At 71.7% G+C, this 24,113-nt stretch overlaps 7 pseudogenes; all 7 read left to right on the plus strand.

Annotated features, from left to right (window-relative positions):
* On the plus strand, window positions 1,322-2,606 carry DUX4L7 (double homeobox 4 like 7 (pseudogene); annotated as a pseudogene).
* On the plus strand, window positions 4,615-5,899 carry DUX4L6 (double homeobox 4 like 6 (pseudogene); annotated as a pseudogene).
* On the plus strand, window positions 7,908-9,192 carry DUX4L5 (double homeobox 4 like 5 (pseudogene); annotated as a pseudogene).
* On the plus strand, window positions 11,208-12,486 carry DUX4L4 (double homeobox 4 like 4 (pseudogene); annotated as a pseudogene).
* DUX4L1 (double homeobox 4 like 1 (pseudogene)) lies at window positions 14,502-15,786 on the plus strand (annotated as a pseudogene).
* Window positions 17,795-19,079, plus strand: DUX4L3 (double homeobox 4 like 3 (pseudogene); annotated as a pseudogene).
* On the plus strand, window positions 21,095-22,379 carry DUX4L2 (double homeobox 4 like 2 (pseudogene); annotated as a pseudogene).

Consider the following 24,113-nt stretch of genomic DNA (forward strand, 5'->3'; position numbering starts at 1 on the left):
AGGGAGGCAGGGAGGAACGGAGGGAGAGACAGAGCGACGCAGGGACTGGGGGCGGGCGGGAGGGAGCCGGGGACGGACGGGGGGAGGAAGGCAGGGAGGAAAAGCGGTCCTCGGCCTCCGGGAGTAGCGGGACCCCCGCCCTCCGGGAAAACGGTCAGCGTCCGGCGCGGGCTGAGGGCTGGGCCCACAGCCGCCGCGCCGGCCGGCGGGGCACCACCCATTCGCCCCGGTTCCGGGGCCCAGGGAGTGGGCGGTTTCCTCCGGGACAAAAGACCGGGACTCGGGTTGCCGTCGGGTCTTCACCCGCGCGGTTCACAGACCCCACATCCCCAGGCTGAGCCCTGCAACGCGGCGCGAGGCCGACAGACCCGGCCACGGAGGAGCCACACGCAGGACGACGGAGGCGTGATTTTGGTTTCCGCGTGGCTTTGCCCTCCGCAAGGCGGCCTGTTGCTCACGTCTCTCCGGCCCCCGAAAGGCTGGCCATGCCGACTGTTTGCTCCCGGAGCTCTGCGGGCACCCGGAAACATGCAGGGAAGGGTGCAAGCCCGGCATGGTGCCTTCGCTCTCCTTGCCAGGTTCCAAACCGGCCACACTGCAGACTCCCCACGTTGCCGCACGCGGGAATCCATCGTCAGGCCATCACGCCGGGGAGGCATCTCCTCTCTGGGGTCTCGCTCTGGTCTTCTACGTGGAAATGAACGAGAGCCACACGCCTGCGTGTGCGAGACCGTCCCGGCAACGGCGACGCCCACAGGCATTGCCTCCTTCACGGAGAGAGGGCCTGGCACACTCAAGACTCCCACGGAGGTTCAGTTCCACACTCCCCTCCACCCTCCCAGGCTGGTTTCTCCCTGCTGCCGACGCGTGGGAGCCCAGAGAGCGGCTTCCCGTTCCCGCGGGATCCCTGGAGAGGTCAGAAGAGCCGGCCCCCGAAACGCGCCCCCCTCCCCCCTCCCCCCTCTCCCCCTTCCTCTTCGTCTCTCCGGCCCCACCACCACCACCGCCACCACGCCCTCCCCCACCACCCCCCCCCCCCACCACCACCACCACCACCCCGCCGGCCGGCCCCAGGCCTCGACGCCCTGGGTCCCTTCCGGGGTGGGGCGGGCTGTCCCAGGGGGGCTCACCGCCATTCATGAAGGGGTGGAGCCTGCCTGCCTGTGGGCCTTTACAAGGGCGGCTGGCTGGCTGGCTGGCTGTCCGGGCAGGCCTCCTGGCTGCACCTGCCGCAGTGCACAGTCCGGCTGAGGTGCACGGGAGCCCGCCGGCCTCTCTCTGCCCGCGTCCGTCCGTGAAATTCCGGCCGGGGCTCACCGCGATGGCCCTCCCGACACCTTCGGACAGCACCCTCCCCGCGGAAGCCCGGGGACGAGGACGGCGACGGAGACTCGTTTGGACCCCGAGCCAAAGCGAGGCCCTGCGAGCCTGCTTTGAGCGGAACCCGTACCCGGGCATCGCCACCAGAGAACGGCTGGCCCAGGCCATCGGCATTCCGGAGCCCAGGGTCCAGATTTGGTTTCAGAATGAGAGGTCACGCCAGCTGAGGCAGCACCGGCGGGAATCTCGGCCCTGGCCCGGGAGACGCGGCCCGCCAGAAGGCCGGCGAAAGCGGACCGCCGTCACCGGATCCCAGACCGCCCTGCTCCTCCGAGCCTTTGAGAAGGATCGCTTTCCAGGCATCGCCGCCCGGGAGGAGCTGGCCAGAGAGACGGGCCTCCCGGAGTCCAGGATTCAGATCTGGTTTCAGAATCGAAGGGCCAGGCACCCGGGACAGGGTGGCAGGGCGCCCGCGCAGGCAGGCGGCCTGTGCAGCGCGGCCCCCGGCGGGGGTCACCCTGCTCCCTCGTGGGTCGCCTTCGCCCACACCGGCGCGTGGGGAACGGGGCTTCCCGCACCCCACGTGCCCTGCGCGCCTGGGGCTCTCCCACAGGGGGCTTTCGTGAGCCAGGCAGCGAGGGCCGCCCCCGCGCTGCAGCCCAGCCAGGCCGCGCCGGCAGAGGGGGTCTCCCAACCTGCCCCGGCGCGCGGGGATTTCGCCTACGCCGCCCCGGCTCCTCCGGACGGGGCGCTCTCCCACCCTCAGGCTCCTCGGTGGCCTCCGCACCCGGGCAAAAGCCGGGAGGACCGGGACCCGCAGCGCGACGGCCTGCCGGGCCCCTGCGCGGTGGCACAGCCTGGGCCCGCTCAAGCGGGGCCGCAGGGCCAAGGGGTGCTTGCGCCACCCACGTCCCAGGGGAGTCCGTGGTGGGGCTGGGGCCGGGGTCCCCAGGTCGCCGGGGCGGCGTGGGAACCCCAAGCCGGGGCAGCTCCACCTCCCCAGCCCGCGCCCCCGGACGCCTCCGCCTCCGCGCGGCAGGGGCAGATGCAAGGCATCCCGGCGCCCTCCCAGGCGCTCCAGGAGCCGGCGCCCTGGTCTGCACTCCCCTGCGGCCTGCTGCTGGATGAGCTCCTGGCGAGCCCGGAGTTTCTGCAGCAGGCGCAACCTCTCCTAGAAACGGAGGCCCCGGGGGAGCTGGAGGCCTCGGAAGAGGCCGCCTCGCTGGAAGCACCCCTCAGCGAGGAAGAATACCGGGCTCTGCTGGAGGAGCTTTAGGACGCGGGGTTGGGACGGGGTCGGGTGGTTCGGGGCAGGGCGGTGGCCTCTCTTTCGCGGGGAACACCTGGCTGGCTACGGAGGGGCGTGTCTCCGCCCCGCCCCCTCCACCGGGCTGACCGGCCTGGGATTCCTGCCTTCTAGGTCCAGGCCCGGTGAGAGACTCCACACCGCGGAGAACTGCCATTCTTTCCTGGGCATCCCGGGGATCCCAGAGCCGGCCCAGGTACCAGCAGGTGGGCCGCCTACTGCGCACGCGCGGGTTTGCGGGCAGCCGCCTGGGCTGTGGGAGCAGCCCGGGCAGAGCTCTCCTGCCTCTCCACCAGCCCACCCCGCCGCCTGACCGCCCCCTCCCCACCCCCACCCCCCACCCCCGGAAAACGCGTCGTCCCCTGGGCTGGGTGGAGACCCCCGTCCCGCGAAACACCGGGCCCCGCGCAGCGTCCGGGCCTGACACCGCTCCGGCGGCTCGCCTCCTCTGCGCCCCCGCGCCACCGTCGCCCGCCCGCCCGGGCCCCTGCAGCCGCCCAGCTGCCAGCACGGAGCGCCTGGCGGCGGAACGCAGACCCCAGGCCCGGCGCACACCGGGGACGCTGAGCGTTCCAGGCGGGAGGGAAGGCGGGCAGAGATGGAGAGAGGAACGGGAGACCTAGAGGGGCGGAAGGATGGGCGGAGGGACGTTAGGAGGGAGGGAGGGAGGCAGGGAGGCAGGGAGGAACGGAGGGAGAGACAGAGCGACGCAGGGACTGGGGGCGGGCGGGAGGGAGCCGGGGACGGGGGGAGGAAGGCAGGGAGGAAAAGCGGTCCTCGGCCTCCGGGAGTAGCGGGACCCCCGCCCTCCGGGAAAACGGTCAGCGTCCGGCGCGGGCTGAGGGCTGGGCCCACAGCCGCCGCGCCGGCCGGCGGGGCACCACCCATTCGCCCCGGTTCCGGGGCCCAGGGAGTGGGCGGTTTCCTCCGGGACAAAAGACCGGGACTCGGGTTGCCGTCGGGTCTTCACCCGCGCGGTTCACAGACCCCACATCCCCAGGCTGAGCCCTGCAACGCGGCGCGAGGCCGACAGCCCCGGCCACGGAGGAGCCACACGCAGGACGACGGAGGCGTGATTTTGGTTTCCGCGTGGCTTTGCCCTCCGCAAGGCGGCCTGTTGCTCACGTCTCTCCGGCCCCCGAAAGGCTGGCCATGCCGACTGTTTGCTCCCGGAGCTCTGCGGGCACCCGGAAACATGCAGGGAAGGGTGCAAGCCCGGCATGGTGCCTTCGCTCTCCTTGCCAGGTTCCAAACCGGCCACACTGCAGACTCCCCACGTTGCCGCACGCGGGAATCCATCGTCAGGCCATCACGCCGGGGAGGCATCTCCTCTCTGGGGTCTCGCTCTGGTCTTCTACGTGGAAATGAACGAGAGCCACACGCCTGCGTGTGCGAGACCGTCCCGGCAACGGCGACGCCCACAGGCATTGCCTCCTTCACGGAGAGAGGGCCTGGCACACTCAAGACTCCCACGGAGGTTCAGTTCCACACTCCCCTCCACCCTCCCAGGCTGGTTTCTCCCTGCTGCCGACGCGTGGGAGCCCAGAGAGCGGCTTCCCGTTCCCGCGGGATCCCTGGAGAGGTCCGGAGAGCCGGCCCCCGAAACGCGCCCCCCTCCCCCCTCCCCCCTCTCCCCCTTCCTCTTCGTCTCTCCGGCCCCACCACCACCACCGCCACCACGCCCTCCCCCACCACCCCCCCCCCCCACCACCACCACCACCACCCCGCCGGCCGGCCCCAGGCCTCGACGCCCTGGGTCCCTTCCGGGGTGGGGCGGGCTGTCCCAGGGGGGCTCACCGCCATTCATGAAGGGGTGGAGCCTGCCTGCCTGTGGGCCTTTACAAGGGCGGCTGGCTGGCTGGCTGGCTGTCCGGGCAGGCCTCCTGGCTGCACCTGCCGCAGTGCACAGTCCGGCTGAGGTGCACGGGAGCCCGCCGGCCTCTCTCTGCCCGCGTCCGTCCGTGAAATTCCGGCCGGGGCTCACCGCGATGGCCCTCCCGACACCCTCGGACAGCACCCTCCCCGCGGAAGCCCGGGGACGAGGACGGCGACGGAGACTCGTTTGGACCCCGAGCCAAAGCGAGGCCCTGCGAGCCTGCTTTGAGCGGAACCCGTACCCGGGCATCGCCACCAGAGAACGGCTGGCCCAGGCCATCGGCATTCCGGAGCCCAGGGTCCAGATTTGGTTTCAGAATGAGAGGTCACGCCAGCTGAGGCAGCACCGGCGGGAATCTCGGCCCTGGCCCGGGAGACGCGGCCCGCCAGAAGGCCGGCGAAAGCGGACCGCCGTCACCGGATCCCAGACCGCCCTGCTCCTCCGAGCCTTTGAGAAGGATCGCTTTCCAGGCATCGCCGCCCGGGAGGAGCTGGCCAGAGAGACGGGCCTCCCGGAGTCCAGGATTCAGATCTGGTTTCAGAATCGAAGGGCCAGGCACCCGGGACAGGGTGGCAGGGCGCCCGCGCAGGCAGGCGGCCTGTGCAGCGCGGCCCCCGGCGGGGGTCACCCTGCTCCCTCGTGGGTCGCCTTCGCCCACACCGGCGCGTGGGGAACGGGGCTTCCCGCACCCCACGTGCCCTGCGCGCCTGGGGCTCTCCCACAGGGGGCTTTCGTGAGCCAGGCAGCGAGGGCCGCCCCCGCGCTGCAGCCCAGCCAGGCCGCGCCGGCAGAGGGGGTCTCCCAACCTGCCCCGGCGCGCGGGGATTTCGCCTACGCCGCCCCGGCTCCTCCGGACGGGGCGCTCTCCCACCCTCAGGCTCCTCGGTGGCCTCCGCACCCGGGCAAAAGCCGGGAGGACCGGGACCCGCAGCGCGACGGCCTGCCGGGCCCCTGCGCGGTGGCACAGCCTGGGCCCGCTCAAGCGGGGCCGCAGGGCCAAGGGGTGCTTGCGCCACCCACGTCCCAGGGGAGTCCGTGGTGGGGCTGGGGCCGGGGTCCCCAGGTCGCCGGGGCGGCGTGGGAACCCCAAGCCGGGGCAGCTCCACCTCCCCAGCCCGCGCCCCCGGACGCCTCCGCCTCCGCGCGGCAGGGGCAGATGCAAGGCATCCCGGCGCCCTCCCAGGCGCTCCAGGAGCCGGCGCCCTGGTCTGCACTCCCCTGCGGCCTGCTGCTGGATGAGCTCCTGGCGAGCCCGGAGTTTCTGCAGCAGGCGCAACCTCTCCTAGAAACGGAGGCCCCGGGGGAGCTGGAGGCCTCGGAAGAGGCCGCCTCGCTGGAAGCACCCCTCAGCGAGGAAGAATACCGGGCTCTGCTGGAGGAGCTTTAGGACGCGGGGTTGGGACGGGGTCGGGTGGTTCGGGGCAGGGCGGTGGCCTCTCTTTCGCGGGGAACACCTGGCTGGCTACGGAGGGGCGTGTCTCCGCCCCGCCCCCTCCACCGGGCTGACCGGCCTGGGATTCCTGCCTTCTAGGTCCAGGCCCGGTGAGAGACTCCACACCGCGGAGAACTGCCATTCTTTCCTGGGCATCCCGGGGATCCCAGAGCCGGCCCAGGTACCAGCAGGTGGGCCGCCTACTGCGCACGCGCGGGTTTGCGGGCAGCCGCCTGGGCTGTGGGAGCAGCCCGGGCAGAGCTCTCCTGCCTCTCCACCAGCCCACCCCGCCGCCTGACCGCCCCCTCCCCACCCCCACCCCCCACCCCCGGAAAACGCGTCGTCCCCTGGGCTGGGTGGAGACCCCCGTCCCGCGAAACACCGGGCCCCGCGCAGCGTCCGGGCCTGACACCGCTCCGGCGGCTCGCCTCCTCTGCGCCCCCGCGCCACCGTCGCCCGCCCGCCCGGGCCCCTGCAGCCGCCCAGCTGCCAGCACGGAGCGCCTGGCGGCGGAACGCAGACCCCAGGCCCGGCGCACACCGGGGACGCTGAGCGTTCCAGGCGGGAGGGAAGGCGGGCAGAGATGGAGAGAGGAACGGGAGACCTAGAGGGGCGGAAGGATGGGCGGAGGGACGTTAGGAGGGAGGCAGGGAGGCAGGGAGGCAGGGAGGAACGGAGGGAGAGACAGAGCGACGCAGGGACTGGGGGCGGGCGGGAGGGAGCCGGGGACGGGGGGAGGAAGGCAGGGAGGAAAAGCGGTCCTCGGCCTCCGGGAGTAGCGGGACCCCCGCCCTCCGGGAAAACGGTCAGCGTCCGGCGCGGGCTGAGGGCTGGGCCCACAGCCGCCGCGCCGGCCGGCGGGGCACCACCCATTCGCCCCGGTTCCGGGGCCCAGGGAGTGGGCGGTTTCCTCCGGGACAAAAGACCGGGACTCGGGTTGCCGTCGGGTCTTCACCCGCGCGGTTCACAGACCCCACATCCCCAGGCTGAGCCCTGCAACGCGGCGCGAGGCCGACAGACCCGGCCACGGAGGAGCCACACGCAGGACGACGGAGGCGTGATTTTGGTTTCCGCGTGGCTTTGCCCTCCGCAAGGCGGCCTGTTGCTCACGTCTCTCCGGCCCCCGAAAGGCTGGCCATGCCGACTGTTTGCTCCCGGAGCTCTGCGGGCACCCGGAAACATGCAGGGAAGGGTGCAAGCCCGGCATGGTGCCTTCGCTCTCCTTGCCAGGTTCCAAACCGGCCACACTGCAGACTCCCCACGTTGCCGCACGCGGGAATCCATCGTCAGGCCATCACGCCGGGGAGGCATCTCCTCTCTGGGGTCTCGCTCTGGTCTTCTACGTGGAAATGAACGAGAGCCACACGCCTGCGTGTGCGAGACCGTCCCGGCAACGGCGACGCCCACAGGCATTGCCTCCTTCACGGAGAGAGGGCCTGGCACACTCAAGACTCCCACGGAGGTTCAGTTCCACACTCCCCTCCACCCTCCCAGGCTGGTTTCTCCCTGCTGCCGACGCGTGGGAGCCCAGAGAGCGGCTTCCCGTTCCCGCGGGATCCCTGGAGAGGTCCGGAGAGCCGGCCCCCGAAACGCGCCCCCCTCCCCCCTCCCCCCTCTCCCCCTTCCTCTTCGTCTCTCCGGCCCCACCACCACCACCGCCACCACGCCCTCCCCCACCACCCCCCCCCCCCACCACCACCACCACCACCCCGCCGGCCGGCCCCAGGCCTCGACGCCCTGGGTCCCTTCCGGGGTGGGGCGGGCTGTCCCAGGGGGGCTCACCGCCATTCATGAAGGGGTGGAGCCTGCCTGCCTGTGGGCCTTTACAAGGGCGGCTGGCTGGCTGGCTGGCTGTCCGGGCAGGCCTCCTGGCTGCACCTGCCGCAGTGCACAGTCCGGCTGAGGTGCACGGGAGCCCGCCGGCCTCTCTCTGCCCGCGTCCGTCCGTGAAATTCCGGCCGGGGCTCACCGCGATGGCCCTCCCGACACCCTCGGACAGCACCCTCCCCGCGGAAGCCCGGGGACGAGGACGGCGACGGAGACTCGTTTGGACCCCGAGCCAAAGCGAGGCCCTGCGAGCCTGCTTTGAGCGGAACCCGTACCCGGGCATCGCCACCAGAGAACGGCTGGCCCAGGCCATCGGCATTCCGGAGCCCAGGGTCCAGATTTGGTTTCAGAATGAGAGGTCACGCCAGCTGAGGCAGCACCGGCGGGAATCTCGGCCCTGGCCCGGGAGACGCGGCCCGCCAGAAGGCCGGCGAAAGCGGACCGCCGTCACCGGATCCCAGACCGCCCTGCTCCTCCGAGCCTTTGAGAAGGATCGCTTTCCAGGCATCGCCGCCCGGGAGGAGCTGGCCAGAGAGACGGGCCTCCCGGAGTCCAGGATTCAGATCTGGTTTCAGAATCGAAGGGCCAGGCACCCGGGACAGGGTGGCAGGGCGCCCGCGCAGGCAGGCGGCCTGTGCAGCGCGGCCCCCGGCGGGGGTCACCCTGCTCCCTCGTGGGTCGCCTTCGCCCACACCGGCGCGTGGGGAACGGGGCTTCCCGCACCCCACGTGCCCTGCGCGCCTGGGGCTCTCCCACAGGGGGCTTTCGTGAGCCAGGCAGCGAGGGCCGCCCCCGCGCTGCAGCCCAGCCAGGCCGCGCCGGCAGAGGGGGTCTCCCAACCTGCCCCGGCGCGCGGGGATTTCGCCTACGCCGCCCCGGCTCCTCCGGACGGGGCGCTCTCCCACCCTCAGGCTCCTCGGTGGCCTCCGCACCCGGGCAAAAGCCGGGAGGACCGGGACCCGCAGCGCGACGGCCTGCCGGGCCCCTGCGCGGTGGCACAGCCTGGGCCCGCTCAAGCGGGGCCGCAGGGCCAAGGGGTGCTTGCGCCACCCACGTCCCAGGGGAGTCCGTGGTGGGGCTGGGGCCGGGGTCCCCAGGTCGCCGGGGCGGCGTGGGAACCCCAAGCCGGGGCAGCTCCACCTCCCCAGCCCGCGCCCCCGGACGCCTCCGCCTCCGCGCGGCAGGGGCAGATGCAAGGCATCCCGGCGCCCTCCCAGGCGCTCCAGGAGCCGGCGCCCTGGTCTGCACTCCCCTGCGGCCTGCTGCTGGATGAGCTCCTGGCGAGCCCGGAGTTTCTGCAGCAGGCGCAACCTCTCCTAGAAACGGAGGCCCCGGGGGAGCTGGAGGCCTCGGAAGAGGCCGCCTCGCTGGAAGCACCCCTCAGCGAGGAAGAATACCGGGCTCTGCTGGAGGAGCTTTAGGACGCGGGGTTGGGACGGGGTCGGGTGGTTCGGGGCAGGGCGGTGGCCTCTCTTTCGCGGGGAACACCTGGCTGGCTACGGAGGGGCGTGTCTCCGCCCCGCCCCCTCCACCGGGCTGACCGGCCTGGGATTCCTGCCTTCTAGGTCCAGGCCCGGTGAGAGACTCCACACCGCGGAGAACTGCCATTCTTTCCTGGGCATCCCGGGGATCCCAGAGCCGGCCCAGGTACCAGCAGGTGGGCCGCCTACTGCGCACGCGCGGGTTTGCGGGCAGCCGCCTGGGCTGTGGGAGCAGCCCGGGCAGAGCTCTCCTGCCTCTCCACCAGCCCACCCCGCCGCCTGACCGCCCCCTCCCCACCCCCACCCCCCACCCCCGGAAAACGCGTCGTCCCCTGGGCTGGGTGGAGACCCCCGTCCCGCGAAACACCGGGCCCCGCGCAGCGTCCGGGCCTGACACCGCTCCGGCGGCTCGCCTCCTCTGCGCCCCCGCGCCACCGTCGCCCGCCCGCCCGGGCCCCTGCAGCCGCCCAGCTGCCAGCACGGAGCGCCTGGCGGCGGAACGCAGACCCCAGGCCCGGCGCACACCGGGGACGCTGAGCGTTCCAGGCGGGAGGGAAGGCGGGCAGAGATGGAGAGAGGAACGGGAGACCTAGAGGGGCGGAAGGATGGGCGGAGGGACGTTAGGAGGGAGGGAGGGAGGCAGGGAGGCAGGGAGGAACGGAGGGAGAGACAGAGCGACGCAGGGACTGGGGGCGGGCGGGAGGGAGCCGGGGACGGACGGGGGGAGGAAGGCAGGGAGGAAAAGCGGTCCTCGGCCTCCGGGAGTAGCGGGACCCCCGCCCTCCGGGAAAACGGTCAGCGTCCGGCGCGGGCTGAGGGCTGGGCCCACAGCCGCCGCGCCGGCCGGCGGGGCACCACCCATTCGCCCCGGTTCCGGGGCCCAGGGAGTGGGCGGTTTCCTCCGGGACAAAAGACCGGGACTCGGGTTGCCGTCGGGTCTTCACCCGCGCGGTTCACAGACCGCACATCCCCAGGCTGAGCCCTGCAACGCGGCGCGAGGCCGACAGACCCGGCCACGGAGGAGCCACACGCAGGACGACGGAGGCGTGATTTTGGTTTCCGCGTGGCTTTGCCCTCCGCAAGGCGGCCTGTTGCTCACGTCTCTCCGGCCCCCGAAAGGCTGGCCATGCCGACTGTTTGCTCCCGGAGCTCTGCGGGCACCCGGAAACATGCAGGGAAGGGTGCAAGCCCGGCATGGTGCCTTCGCTCTCCTTGCCAGGTTCCAAACCGGCCACACTGCAGACTCCCCACGTTGCCGCACGCGGGAATCCATCGTCAGGCCATCACGCCGGGGAGGCATCTCCTCTCTGGGGTCTCGCTCTGGTCTTCTACGTGGAAATGAACGAGAGCCACACGCCTGCGTGTGCGAGACCGTCCCGGCAACGGCGACGCCCACAGGCATTGCCTCCTTCACGGAGAGAGGGCCTGGCACACTCAAGACTCCCACGGAGGTTCAGTTCCACACTCCCCTCCACCCTCCCAGGCTGGTTTCTCCCTGCTGCCGACGCGTGGGAGCCCAGAGAGCGGCTTCCCGTTCCCGCGGGATCCCTGGAGAGGTCAGAAGAGCCGGCCCCCGAAACGCGCCCCCCTCCCCCCTCCCCCCTCTCCCCCTTCCTCTTCGTCTCTCCGGCCCCACCACCACCACCGCCACCACGCCCTCCCCCCCCACCCCCCCCCCCCACCACCACCACCACCACCACCCCGCCGGCCGGCCCCAGGCCTCGACGCCCTGGGTCCCTTCCGGGGTGGGGCGGGCTGTCCCAGGGGGGCTCACCGCCATTCATGAAGGGGTGGAGCCTGCCTGCCTGTGGGCCTTTACAAGGGCGGCTGGCTGGCTGGCTGGCTGTCCGGGCAGGCCTCCTGGCTGCACCTGCCGCAGTGCACAGTCCGGCTGAGGTGCACGGGAGCCCGCCGGCCTCTCTCTGCCCGCGTCCGTCCGTGAAATTCCGGCCGGGGCTCACCGCGATGGCCCTCCCGACACCTTCGGACAGCACCCTCCCCGCGGAAGCCCGGGGACGAGGACGGCGACGGAGACTCGTTTGGACCCCGAGCCAAAGCGAGGCCCTGCGAGCCTGCTTTGAGCGGAACCCGTACCCGGGCATCGCCACCAGAGAACGGCTGGCCCAGGCCATCGGCATTCCGGAGCCCAGGGTCCAGATTTGGTTTCAGAATGAGAGGTCACGCCAGCTGAGGCAGCACCGGCGGGAATCTCGGCCCTGGCCCGGGAGACGCGGCCCGCCAGAAGGCCGGCGAAAGCGGACCGCCGTCACCGGATCCCAGACCGCCCTGCTCCTCCGAGCCTTTGAGAAGGATCGCTTTCCAGGCATCGCCGCCCGGGAGGAGCTGGCCAGAGAGACGGGCCTCCCGGAGTCCAGGATTCAGATCTGGTTTCAGAATCGAAGGGCCAGGCACCCGGGACAGGGTGGCAGGGCGCCCGCGCAGGCAGGCGGCCTGTGCAGCGCGGCCCCCGGCGGGGGTCACCCTGCTCCCTCGTGGGTCGCCTTCGCCCACACCGGCGCGTGGGGAACGGGGCTTCCCGCACCCCACGTGCCCTGCGCGCCTGGGGCTCTCCCACAGGGGGCTTTCGTGAGCCAGGCAGCGAGGGCCGCCCCCGCGCTGCAGCCCAGCCAGGCCGCGCCGGCAGAGGGGGTCTCCCAACCTGCCCCGGCGCGCGGGGATTTCGCCTACGCCGCCCCGGCTCCTCCGGACGGGGCGCTCTCCCACCCTCAGGCTCCTCGGTGGCCTCCGCACCCGGGCAAAAGCCGGGAGGACCGGGACCCGCAGCGCGACGGCCTGCCGGGCCCCTGCGCGGTGGCACAGCCTGGGCCCGCTCAAGCGGGGCCGCAGGGCCAAGGGGTGCTTGCGCCACCCACGTCCCAGGGGAGTCCGTGGTGGGGCTGGGGCCGGGGTCCCCAGGTCGCTGGGGCGGCGTGGGAACCCCAAGCCGGGGAAGCTCCACCTCCCCAGCCCGCGCCCCCGGACGCCTCCGCGCGGCAGGGGCAGATGCAAGGCATCCCGGCGCCCTCCCAGGCGCTCCAGGAGCCGGCGCCCTGGTCTGCACTCCCCTGCGGCCTGCTGCTGGATGAGCTCCTGGCGAGCCCGGAGTTTCTGCAGCAGGCGCAACCTCTCCTAGAAACGGAGGCCCCGGGGGAGCTGGAGGCCTCGGAAGAGGCCGCCTCGCTGGAAGCACCCCTCAGCGAGGAAGAATACCGGGCTCTGCTGGAGGAGCTTTAGGACGCGGGGTTGGGACGGGGTCGGGTGGTTCGGGGCAGGGCGGTGGCCTCTCTTTCGCGGGGAACACCTGGCTGGCTACGGAGGGGCGTGTCTCCGCCCCGCCCCCTCCACCGGGCTGACCGGCCTGGGATTCCTGCCTTCTAGGTCTAGGCCCGGTGAGAGACTCCACACCGCGGAGAACTGCCATTCTTTCCTGGGCATCCCGGGGATCCCAGAGCCGGCCCAGGTACCAGCAGGTGGGCCGCCTACTGCGCACGCGCGGGTTTGCGGGCAGCCGCCTGGGCTGTGGGAGCAGCCCGGGCAGAGCTCTCCTGCCTCTCCACCAGCCCACCCCGCCGCCTGACCGCCCCCTCCCCACCCCCACCCCCCACCCCCGGAAAACGCGTCGTCCCCTGGGCTGGGTGGAGACCCCCGTCCCGCGAAACACCGGGCCCCGCGCAGCGTCCGGGCCTGACACCGCTCCGGCGGCTCGCCTCCTCTGCGCCCCCGCGCCACCGTCGCCCGCCCGCCCGGGCCCCTGCAGCCGCCCAGCTGCCAGCACGGAGCGCCTGGCGGCGGAACGCAGACCCCAGGCCCGGCGCACACCGGGGACGCTGAGCGTTCCAGGCGGGAGGGAAGGCGGGCAGAGATGGAGAGAGGAACGGGAGACCTAGAGGGGCGGAAGGACGGGCGGAGGGACGTTAGGAGGGAGGCAGGGAGGCAGGGAGGCAGGGAGGAACGGAGGGAGAGACAGAGCGACGCAGGGACTGGGGGCGGGCGGGAGGGAGCCGGGGACGGACGGGGGGAGGAAGGCAGGGAGGAAAAGCGGTCCTCGGCCTCCGGGAGTAGCGGGACCCCCGCCCTCCGGGAAAACGGTCAGCGTCCGGCGCGGGCTGAGGGCTGGGCCCACAGCCGCCGCGCCGGCCGGCGGGGCACCACCCATTCGCCCCGGTTCCGGGGCCCAGGGAGTGGGCGGTTTCCTCCGGGACAAAAGACCGGGACTCGGGTTGCCGTCGGGTCTTCACCCGCGCGGTTCACAGACCGCACATCCCCAGGCTGAGCCCTGCAACGCGGCGCGAGGCCGACAGACCCGGCCACGGAGGAGCCACACGCAGGACGACGGAGGCGTGATTTTGGTTTCCGCGTGGCTTTGCCCTCCGCAAGGCGGCCTGTTGCTCACGTCTCTCCGGCCCCCGAAAGGCTGGCCATGCCGACTGTTTGCTCCCGGAGCTCTGCGGGCACCCGGAAACATGCAGGGAAGGGTGCAAGCCCGGCATGGTGCCTTCGCTCTCCTTGCCAGGTTCCAAACCGGCCACACTGCAGACTCCCCACGTTGCCGCACGCGGGAATCCATCGTCAGGCCATCACGCCGGGGAGGCATCTCCTCTCTGGGGTCTCGCTCTGGTCTTCTACGTGGAAATGAACGAGAGCCACACGCCTGCGTGTGCGAGACCGTCCCGGCAACGGCGACGCCCACAGGCATTGCCTCCTTCACGGAGAGAGGGCCTGGCACACTCAAGACTCCCACGGAGGTTCAGTTCCACACTCCCCTCCACCCTCCCAGGCTGGTTTCTCCCTGCTGCCGACGCGTGGGAGCCCAGAGAGCGGCTTCCCGTTCCCGCGGGATCCCTGGAGAGGTCCGGAGAGCCGGCCCCCGAAACGCGCCCCCCTCCCCCCTCCCCCCTCTCCCCCTTCCTCTTCGTCTCTCCGGCCCCACCACCACCACCGCCACCACGCCCTCCCCCACCACCCCCCCCCCCCACCACCACCACCACCACCACCCCGCCGGCCGGCCCCAGGCCTCGACGCCCTGGGTCCCTTCCGGGGTGGGGCGGGCTGTCCCAGGGGGGCTCACCGCCATTCATGAAGGGGTGGAGCCTGCCTGCCTGTGGGCCTTTACAAGGGCGGCTGGCTGGCTGGCTGGCTGTCCGGGCAGGCCTCCTGGCTGCACCTGCCGCAGTGCACAGTCCGGCTGAGGTGCACGGGAGCCCGCCGGCCTCTCTCTGCCCGCGTCCGTCCGTGAAATTCCGGCCGGGGCTCACCGCGATGGCCCTCCCGACACCCTCGGACAGCACCCTCCCCGCGGAAGCCCGGGGACGAGGACGGCGACGGAGACTCGTTTGGACCCCGAGCCAAAGCGAGGCCCTGCGAGCCTGCTTTGAGCGGAACCCGTACCCGGGCATCGCCACCAGAGAACGGCTGGCCCAGGCCATCGGCATTCCGGAGCCCAGGGTCCAGATTTGGTTTCAGAATGAGAGGTCACGCCAGCTGAGGCAGCACCGGCGGGAATCTCGGCCCTGGCCCGGGAGACGCGGCCCGCCAGAAGGCCGGCGAAAGCGGACCGCCGTCACCGGATCCCAGACCGCCCTGCTCCTCCGAGCCTTTGAGAAGGATCGCTTTCCAGGCATCGCCGCCCGGGAGGAGCTGGCCAGAGAGACGGGCCTCCCGGAGTCCAGGATTCAGATCTGGTTTCAGAATCGAAGGGCCAGGCACCCGGGACAGGGTGGCAGGGCGCCCGCGCAGGCAGGCGGCCTGTGCAGCGCGGCCCCCGGCGGGGGTCACCCTGCTCCCTCGTGGGTCGCCTTCGCCCACACCGGCGCGTGGGGAACGGGGCTTCCCGCACCCCACGTGCCCTGCGCGCCTGGGGCTCTCCCACAGGGGGCTTTCGTGAGCCAGGCAGCGAGGGCCGCCCCCGCGCTGCAGCCCAGCCAGGCCGCGCCGGCAGAGGGGGTCTCCCAACCTGCCCCGGCGCGCGGGGATTTCGCCTACGCCGCCCCGGCTCCTCCGGACGGGGCGCTCTCCCACCCTCAGGCTCCTCGGTGGCCTCCGCACCCGGGCAAAAGCCGGGAGGACCGGGACCCGCAGCGCGACGGCCTGCCGGGCCCCTGCGCGGTGGCACAGCCTGGGCCCGCTCAAGCGGGGCCGCAGGGCCAAGGGGTGCTTGCGCCACCCACGTCCCAGGGGAGTCCGTGGTGGGGCTGGGGCCGGGGTCCCCAGGTCGCCGGGGCGGCGTGGGAACCCCAAGCCGGGGCAGCTCCACCTCCCCAGCCCGCGCCCCCGGACGCCTCCGCCTCCGCGCGGCAGGGGCAGATGCAAGGCATCCCGGCGCCCTCCCAGGCGCTCCAGGAGCCGGCGCCCTGGTCTGCACTCCCCTGCGGCCTGCTGCTGGATGAGCTCCTGGCGAGCCCGGAGTTTCTGCAGCAGGCGCAACCTCTCCTAGAAACGGAGGCCCCGGGGGAGCTGGAGGCCTCGGAAGAGGCCGCCTCGCTGGAAGCACCCCTCAGCGAGGAAGAATACCGGGCTCTGCTGGAGGAGCTTTAGGACGCGGGGTTGGGACGGGGTCGGGTGGTTCGGGGCAGGGCGGTGGCCTCTCTTTCGCGGGGAACACCTGGCTGGCTACGGAGGGGCGTGTCTCCGCCCCGCCCCCTCCACCGGGCTGACCGGCCTGGGATTCCTGCCTTCTAGGTCCAGGCCCGGTGAGAGACTCCACACCGCGGAGAACTGCCATTCTTTCCTGGGCATCCCGGGGATCCCAGAGCCGGCCCAGGTACCAGCAGGTGGGCCGCCTACTGCGCACGCGCGGGTTTGCGGGCAGCCGCCTGGGCTGTGGGAGCAGCCCGGGCAGAGCTCTCCTGCCTCTCCACCAGCCCACCCCGCCGCCTGACCGCCCCCTCCCCACCCCCACCCCCCACCCCCGGAAAACGCGTCGTCCCCTGGGCTGGGTGGAGACCCCCGTCCCGCGAAACACCGGGCCCCGCGCAGCGTCCGGGCCTGACACCGCTCCGGCGGCTCGCCTCCTCTGCGCCCCCGCGCCACCGTCGCCCGCCCGCCCGGGCCCCTGCAGCCGCCCAGCTGCCAGCACGGAGCGCCTGGCGGCGGAACGCAGACCCCAGGCCCGGCGCACACCGGGGACGCTGAGCGTTCCAGGCGGGAGGGAAGGCGGGCAGAGATGGAGAGAGGAACGGGAGACCTAGAGGGGCGGAAGGATGGGCGGAGGGACGTTAGGAGGGAGGCAGGGAGGCAGGGAGGCAGGGAGGAACGGAGGGAGAGACAGAGCGACGCAGGGACTGGGGGCGGGCGGGAGGGAGCCGGGGACGGGGGGAGGAAGGCAGGGAGGAAAAGCGGTCCTCGGCCTCCGGGAGTAGCGGGACCCCCGCCCTCCGGGAAAACGGTCAGCGTCCGGCGCGGGCTGAGGGCTGGGCCCACAGCCGCCGCGCCGGCCGGCGGGGCACCACCCATTCGCCCCGGTTCCGGGGCCCAGGGAGTGGGCGGTTTCCTCCGGGACAAAAGACCGGGACTCGGGTTGCCGTCGGGTCTTCACCCGCGCGGTTCACAGACCGCACATCCCCAGGCTGAGCCCTGCAACGCGGCGCGAGGCCGACAGCCCCGGCCACGGAGGAGCCACACGCAGGACGACGGAGGCGTGATTTTGGTTTCCGCGTGGCTTTGCCCTCCGCAAGGCGGCCTGTTGCTCACGTCTCTCCGGCCCCCGAAAGGCTGGCCATGCCGACTGTTTGCTCCCGGAGCTCTGCGGGCACCCGGAAACATGCAGGGAAGGGTGCAAGCCCGGCATGGTGCCTTCGCTCTCCTTGCCAGGTTCCAAACCGGCCACACTGCAGACTCCCCACGTTGCCGCACGCGGGAATCCATCGTCAGGCCATCACGCCGGGGAGGCATCTCCTCTCTGGGGTCTCGCTCTGGTCTTCTACGTGGAAATGAACGAGAGCCACACGCCTGCGTGTGCGAGACCGTCCCGGCAACGGCGACGCCCACAGGCATTGCCTCCTTCACGGAGAGAGGGCCTGGCACACTCAAGACTCCCACGGAGGTTCAGTTCCACACTCCCCTCCACCCTCCCAGGCTGGTTTCTCCCTGCTGCCGACGCGTGGGAGCCCAGAGAGCGGCTTCCCGTTCCCGCGGGATCCCTGGAGAGGTCCGGAGAGCCGGCCCCCGAAACGCGCCCCCCTCCCCCCTCCCCCCTCTCCCCCTTCCTCTTCGTCTCTCCGGCCCCACCACCACCACCGCCACCACGCCCTCCCCCACCACCCCCCCCCCCCACCACCACCACCACCACCCCGCCGGCCGGCCCCAGGCCTCGACGCCCTGGGTCCCTTCCGGGGTGGGGCGGGCTGTCCCAGGGGGGCTCACCGCCATTCATGAAGGGGTGGAGCCTGCCTGCCTGTGGGCCTTTACAAGGGCGGCTGGCTGGCTGGCTGGCTGTCCGGGCAGGCCTCCTGGCTGCACCTGCCGCAGTGCACAGTCCGGCTGAGGTGCACGGGAGCCCGCCGGCCTCTCTCTGCCCGCGTCCGTCCGTGAAATTCCGGCCGGGGCTCACCGCGATGGCCCTCCCGACACCCTCGGACAGCACCCTCCCCGCGGAAGCCCGGGGACGAGGACGGCGACGGAGACTCGTTTGGACCCCGAGCCAAAGCGAGGCCCTGCGAGCCTGCTTTGAGCGGAACCCGTACCCGGGCATCGCCACCAGAGAACGGCTGGCCCAGGCCATCGGCATTCCGGAGCCCAGGGTCCAGATTTGGTTTCAGAATGAGAGGTCACGCCAGCTGAGGCAGCACCGGCGGGAATCTCGGCCCTGGCCCGGGAGACGCGGCCCGCCAGAAGGCCGGCGAAAGCGGACCGCCGTCACCGGATCCCAGACCGCCCTGCTCCTCCGAGCCTTTGAGAAGGATCGCTTTCCAGGCATCGCCGCCCGGGAGGAGCTGGCCAGAGAGACGGGCCTCCCGGAGTCCAGGATTCAGATCTGGTTTCAGAATCGAAGGGCCAGGCACCCGGGACAGGGTGGCAGGGCGCCCGCGCAGGCAGGCGGCCTGTGCAGCGCGGCCCCCGGCGGGGGTCACCCTGCTCCCTCGTGGGTCGCCTTCGCCCACACCGGCGCGTGGGGAACGGGGCTTCCCGCACCCCACGTGCCCTGCGCGCCTGGGGCTCTCCCACAGGGGGCTTTCGTGAGCCAGGCAGCGAGGGCCGCCCCCGCGCTGCAGCCCAGCCAGGCCGCGCCGGCAGAGGGGGTCTCCCAACCTGCCCCGGCGCGCGGGGATTTCGCCTACGCCGCCCCGGCTCCTCCGGACGGGGCGCTCTCCCACCCTCAGGCTCCTCGGTGGCCTCCGCACCCGGGCAAAAGCCGGGAGGACCGGGACCCGCAGCGCGACGGCCTGCCGGGCCCCTGCGCGGTGGCACAGCCTGGGCCCGCTCAAGCGGGGCCGCAGGGCCAAGGGGTGCTTGCGCCACCCACGTCCCAGGGGAGTCCGTGGTGGGGCTGGGGCCGGGGTCCCCAGGTCGCCGGGGCGGCGTGGGAACCCCAAGCCGGGGCAGCTCCACCTCCCCAGCCCGCGCCCCCGGACGCCTCCGCCTCCGCGCGGCAGGGGCAGATGCAAGGCATCCCGGCGCCCTCCCAGGCGCTCCAGGAGCCGGCGCCCTGGTCTGCACTCCCCTGCGGCCTGCTGCTGGATGAGCTCCTGGCGAGCCCGGAGTTTCTGCAGCAGGCGCAACCTCTCCTAGAAACGGAGGCCCCGGGGGAGCTGGAGGCCTCGGAAGAGGCCGCCTCGCTGGAAGCACCCCTCAGCGAGGAAGAATACCGGGCTCTGCTGGAGGAGCTTTAGGACGCGGGGTTGGGACGGGGTCGGGTGGTTCGGGGCAGGGCGGTGGCCTCTCTTTCGCGGGGAACACCTGGCTGGCTACGGAGGGGCGTGTCTCCGCCCCGCCCCCTCCACCGGGCTGACCGGCCTGGGATTCCTGCCTTCTAGGTCCAGGCCCGGTGAGAGACTCCACACCGCGGAGAACTGCCATTCTTTCCTGGGCATCCCGGGGATCCCAGAGCCGGCCCAGGTACCAGCAGGTGGGCCGCCTACTGCGCACGCGCGGGTTTGCGGGCAGCCGCCTGGGCTGTGGGAGCAGCCCGGGCAGAGCTCTCCTGCCTCTCCACCAGCCCACCCCGCCGCCTGACCGCCCCCTCCCCACCCCCACCCCCCACCCCCGGAAAACGCGTCGTCCCCTGGGCTGGGTGGAGACCCCCGTCCCGCGAAACACCGGGCCCCGCGCAGCGTCCGGGCCTGACACCGCTCCGGCGGCTCGCCTCCTCTGCGCCCCCGCGCCACCGTCGCCCGCCCGCCCGGGCCCCTGCAGCCGCCCAGCTGCCAGCACGGAGCGCCTGGCGGCGGAACGCAGACCCCAGGCCCGGCGCACACCGGGGACGCTGAGCGTTCCAGGCGGGAGGGAAGGCGGGCAGAGATGGAGAGAGGAACGGGAGACCTAGAGGGGCGGAAGGACGGGCGGAGGGACGTTAGGAGGGAGGCAGGGAGGCAGGGAGGCAGGGAGGAACGGAGGGAGAGACAGAGCGACGCAGGGACTGGGGGCGGGCGGGAGGGAGCCGGGGACGGACGGGGGGAGGAAGGCAGGGAGGAAAAGCGGTCCTCGGCCTCCGGGAGTAGCGGGACCCCCGCCCTCCGGGAAAACGGTCAGCGTCCGGCGCGGGCTGAGGGCTGGGCCCACAGCCGCCGCGCCGGCCGGCGGGGCACCACCCATTCGCCCCGGTTCCGGGGCCCAGGGAGTGGGCGGTTTCCTCCGGGACAAAAGACCGGGACTCGGGTTGCCGTCGGGTCTTCACCCGCGCGGTTCACAGACCGCACATCCCCAGGCTGAGCCCTGCAACGCGGCGCGAGGCCGACAGCCCCGGCCACGGAGGAGCCACACGCAGGACGACGGAGGCGTGATTTTGGTTTCCGCGTGGCTTTGCCCTCCGCAAGGCGGCCTGTTGCTCACGTCTCTCCGGCCCCCGAAAGGCTGGCCATGCCGACTGTTTGCTCCCGGAGCTCTGCGGGCACCCGGAAACATGCAGGGAAGGGTGCAAGCCCGGCATGGTGCCTTCGCTCTCCTTGCCAGGTTCCAAACCGGCCACACTGCAGACTCCCCACGTTGCCGCACGCGGGAATCCATCGTCAGGCCATCACGCCGGGGAGGCATCTCCTCTCTGGGGTCTCGCTCTGGTCTTCTACGTGGAAATGAACGAGAGCCACACGCCTGCGTGTGCGAGACCGTCCCGGCAACGGCGACGCCCACAGGCATTGCCTCCTTCACGGAGAGAGGGCCTGGCACACTCAAGACTCCCACGGAGGTTCAGTTCCACACTCCCCTCCACCCTCCCAGGCTGGTTTCTCCCTGCTGCCGACGCGTGGGAGCCCAGAGAGCGGCTTCCCGTTCCCGCGGGATCCCTGGAGAGGTCCGGAGAGCCGGCCCCCGAAACGCGCCCCCCTCCCCCCTCCCCCCTCTCCCCCTTCCTCTTCGTCTCTCCGGCCCCACCACCACCACCGCCACCACGCCCTCCCCCACCACCCCCCCCCCCCACCACCACCACCACCACCACCCCGCCGGCCGGCCCCAGGCCTCGACGCCCTGGGTCCCTTCCGGGGTGGGGCGGGCTGTCCCAGGGGGGCTCACCGCCATTCATGAAGGGGTGGAGCCTGCCTGCCTGTGGGCCTTTACAAGGGCGGCTGGCTGGCTGGCTGGCTGTCCGGGCAGGCCTCCTGGCTGCACCTGCCGCAGTGCACAGTCCGGCTGAGGTGCACGGGAGCCCGCCGGCCTCTCTCTGCCCGCGTCCGTCCGTGAAATTCCGGCCGGGGCTCACCGCGATGGCCCTCCCGACACCCTCGGACAGCACCCTCCCCGCGGAAGCCCGGGGACGAGGACGGCGACGGAGACTCGTTTGGACCCCGAGCCAAAGCGAGGCCCTGCGAGCCTGCTTTGAGCGGAACCCGTACCCGGGCATCGCCACCAGAGAACGGCTGGCCCAGGCCATCGGCATTCCGGAGCCCAGGGTCCAGATTTGGTTTCAGAATGAGAGGTCACGCCAGCTGAGGCAGCACCGGCGGGAATCTCGGCCCTGGCCCGGGAGACGCGGCCCGCCAGAAGGCCGGCGAAAGCGGACCGCCGTCACCGGATCCCAGACCGCCCTGCTCCTCCGAGCCTTTGAGAAGGATCGCTTTCCAGGCATCGCCGCCCGGGAGGAGCTGGCCAGAGAGACGGGCCTCCCGGAGTCCAGGATTCAGATCTGGTTTCAGAATCGAAGGGCCAGGCACCCGGGACAGGGTGGCAGGGCGCCCGCGCAGGCAGGCGGCCTGTGCAGCGCGGCCCCCGGCGGGGGTCACCCTGCTCCCTCGTGGGTCGCCTTCGCCCACACCGGCGCGTGGGGAACGGGGCTTCCCGCACCCCACGTGCCCTGCGCGCCTGGGGCTCTCCCACAGGGGGCTTTCGTGAGCCAGGCAGCGAGGGCCGCCCCCGCGCTGCAGCCCAGCCAGGCCGCGCCGGCAGAGGGGGTCTCCCAACCTGCCCCGGCGCGCGGGGATTTCGCCTACGCCGCCCCGGCTCCTCCGGACGGGGCGCTCTCCCACCCTCAGGCTCCTCGGTGGCCTCCGCACCCGGGCAAAAGCCGGGAGGACCGGGACCCGCAGCGCGACGGCCTGCCGGGCCCCTGCGCGGTGGCACAGCCTGGGCCCGCTCAAGCGGGGCCGCAGGGCCAAGGGGTGCTTGCGCCACCCACGTCCCAGGGGAGTCCGTGGTGGGGCTGGGGCCGGGGTCCCCAGGTCGCCGGGGCGGCGTGGGAACCCCAAGCCGGGGCAGCTCCACCTCCCCAGCCCGCGCCCCCGGACGCCTCCGCCTCCGCGCGGCAGGGGCAGATGCAAGGCATCCCGGCGCCCTCCCAGGCGCTCCAGGAGCCGGCGCCCTGGTCTGCACTCCCCTGCGGCCTGCTGCTGGATGAGCTCCTGGCGAGCCCGGAGTTTCTGCAGCAGGCGCAACCTCTCCTAGAAACGGAGGCCCCGGGGGAGCTGGAGGCCTCGGAAGAGGCCGCCTCGCTGGAAGCACCCCTCAGCGAGGAAGAATACCGGGCTCTGCTGGAGGAGCTTTAGGACGCGGGGTTGGGACGGGGTCGGGTGGTTCGGGGCAGGGCGGTGGCCTCTCTTTCGCGGGGAACACCTGGCTGGCTACGGAGGGGCGTGTCTCCGCCCCGCCCCCTCCACCGGGCTGACCGGCCTGGGATTCCTGCCTTCTAGGTCCAGGCCCGGTGAGAGACTCCACACCGCGGAGAACTGCCATTCTTTCCTGGGCATCCCGGGGATCCCAGAGCCGGCCCAGGTACCAGCAGGTGGGCCGCCTACTGCGCACGCGCGGGTTTGCGGGCAGCCGCCTGGGCTGTGGGAGCAGCCCGGGCAGAGCTCTCCTGCCTCTCCACCAGCCCACCCCGCCGCCTGACCGCCCCCTCCCCACCCCCACCCCCCACCCCCGGAAAACGCGTCGTCCCCTGGGCTGGGTGGAGACCCCCGTCCCGCGAAACACCGGGCCCCGCGCAGCGTCCGGGCCTGACACCGCTCCGGCGGCTCGCCTCCTCTGCGCCCCCGCGCCACCGTCGCCCGCCCGCCCGGGCCCCTGCAGCCGCCCAGCTGCCAGCACGGAGCGCCTGGCGGCGGAACGCAGACCCCAGGCCCGGCGCACACCGGGGACGCTGAGCGTTCCAGGCGGGAGGGAAGGCGGGCAGAGATGGAGAGAGGAACGGGAGACCTAGAGGGGCGGAAGGACGGGCGGAGGGACGTTAGGAGGGAGGCAGGGAGGCAGGGAGGCAGGGAGGAACGGAGGGAGAGACAGAGCGACGCAGGGACTGGGGGCGGGCGGGAGGGAGCCGGGGACGGACGGGGGGAGGAAGGCAGGGAGGAAAAGCGGTCCTCGGCCTCCGGGAGTAGCGGGACCCCCGCCCTCCGGGAAAACGGTCAGCGTCCGGCGCGGGCTGAGGGCTGGGCCCACAGCCGCCGCGCCGGCCGGCGGGGCACCACCCATTCGCCCCGGTTCCGGGGCCCAGGGAGTGGGCGGTTTCCTCCGGGACAAAAGACCGGGACTCGAGACTCCGTTCAATAAATGGTGCTGGGATAACTGGCTAGCCACATGCTGAAGATTGAACTGGGCCCCTTTCTTACACCATACACAAAAATGAACTCAGGATGGATTAAAGACTTAAGTGTAAAACCCAAAAATATAAAAACCCTGGAAGACAACCTAGGCAATACCATCCTGGACATAAGGACAGGCAAAGATTTCATGACAAAGACAACAAAAGCAATAGCAATGAAAGCAAAAATTGACGTGGGATCTAGTTAAACTAAAGAGCTTCTACACAGCAAAAGAAACTATCAACAAAGTAAACAGGCAACTTGCAGATTGGGAGAAAGTATTTACAAACTATGCATCTGACAAAGGTCTAATATCCAGCATCTATAAGGAACTTAAACAAATTTACAAGAGAAAAACAACCCCATTAAAAAGTGGGCCAAGGACATAAAGAGACACTTCTCCAAAGGAGACAAACATGTGTGCCGGGCGTGGTGGCTCACGCCTGTAATTCCTGCATTTTGGGAGGCCAAGGAGGGTGGATCACAACGTCAGGAGATTGAGACCATCCTGACTAACATGGTGAAACCCCGTCTCTACTAAAAATACAAAAAATTAGCCGGGTGTGGTGGCAGGCACCTGTAGTCCCAGCTACTTGGGAGGCTGAGGCAGGAGAATGGCGTGAACCAAGGAGGCAGAGCTTGCAGTTAGCTGAGATCGCACCACTGCACTCTGGCCTGGGTGACAGAGCGAGACTCGGGCTAAGAAAAAAAA

Source organism: Homo sapiens, chromosome 4 (genome assembly GCF_000001405.40).
Source record: "Homo sapiens chromosome 4, GRCh38.p14 Primary Assembly".
NCBI classification, from domain to species: Eukaryota; Metazoa; Chordata; class Mammalia; order Primates; family Hominidae; genus Homo; species Homo sapiens.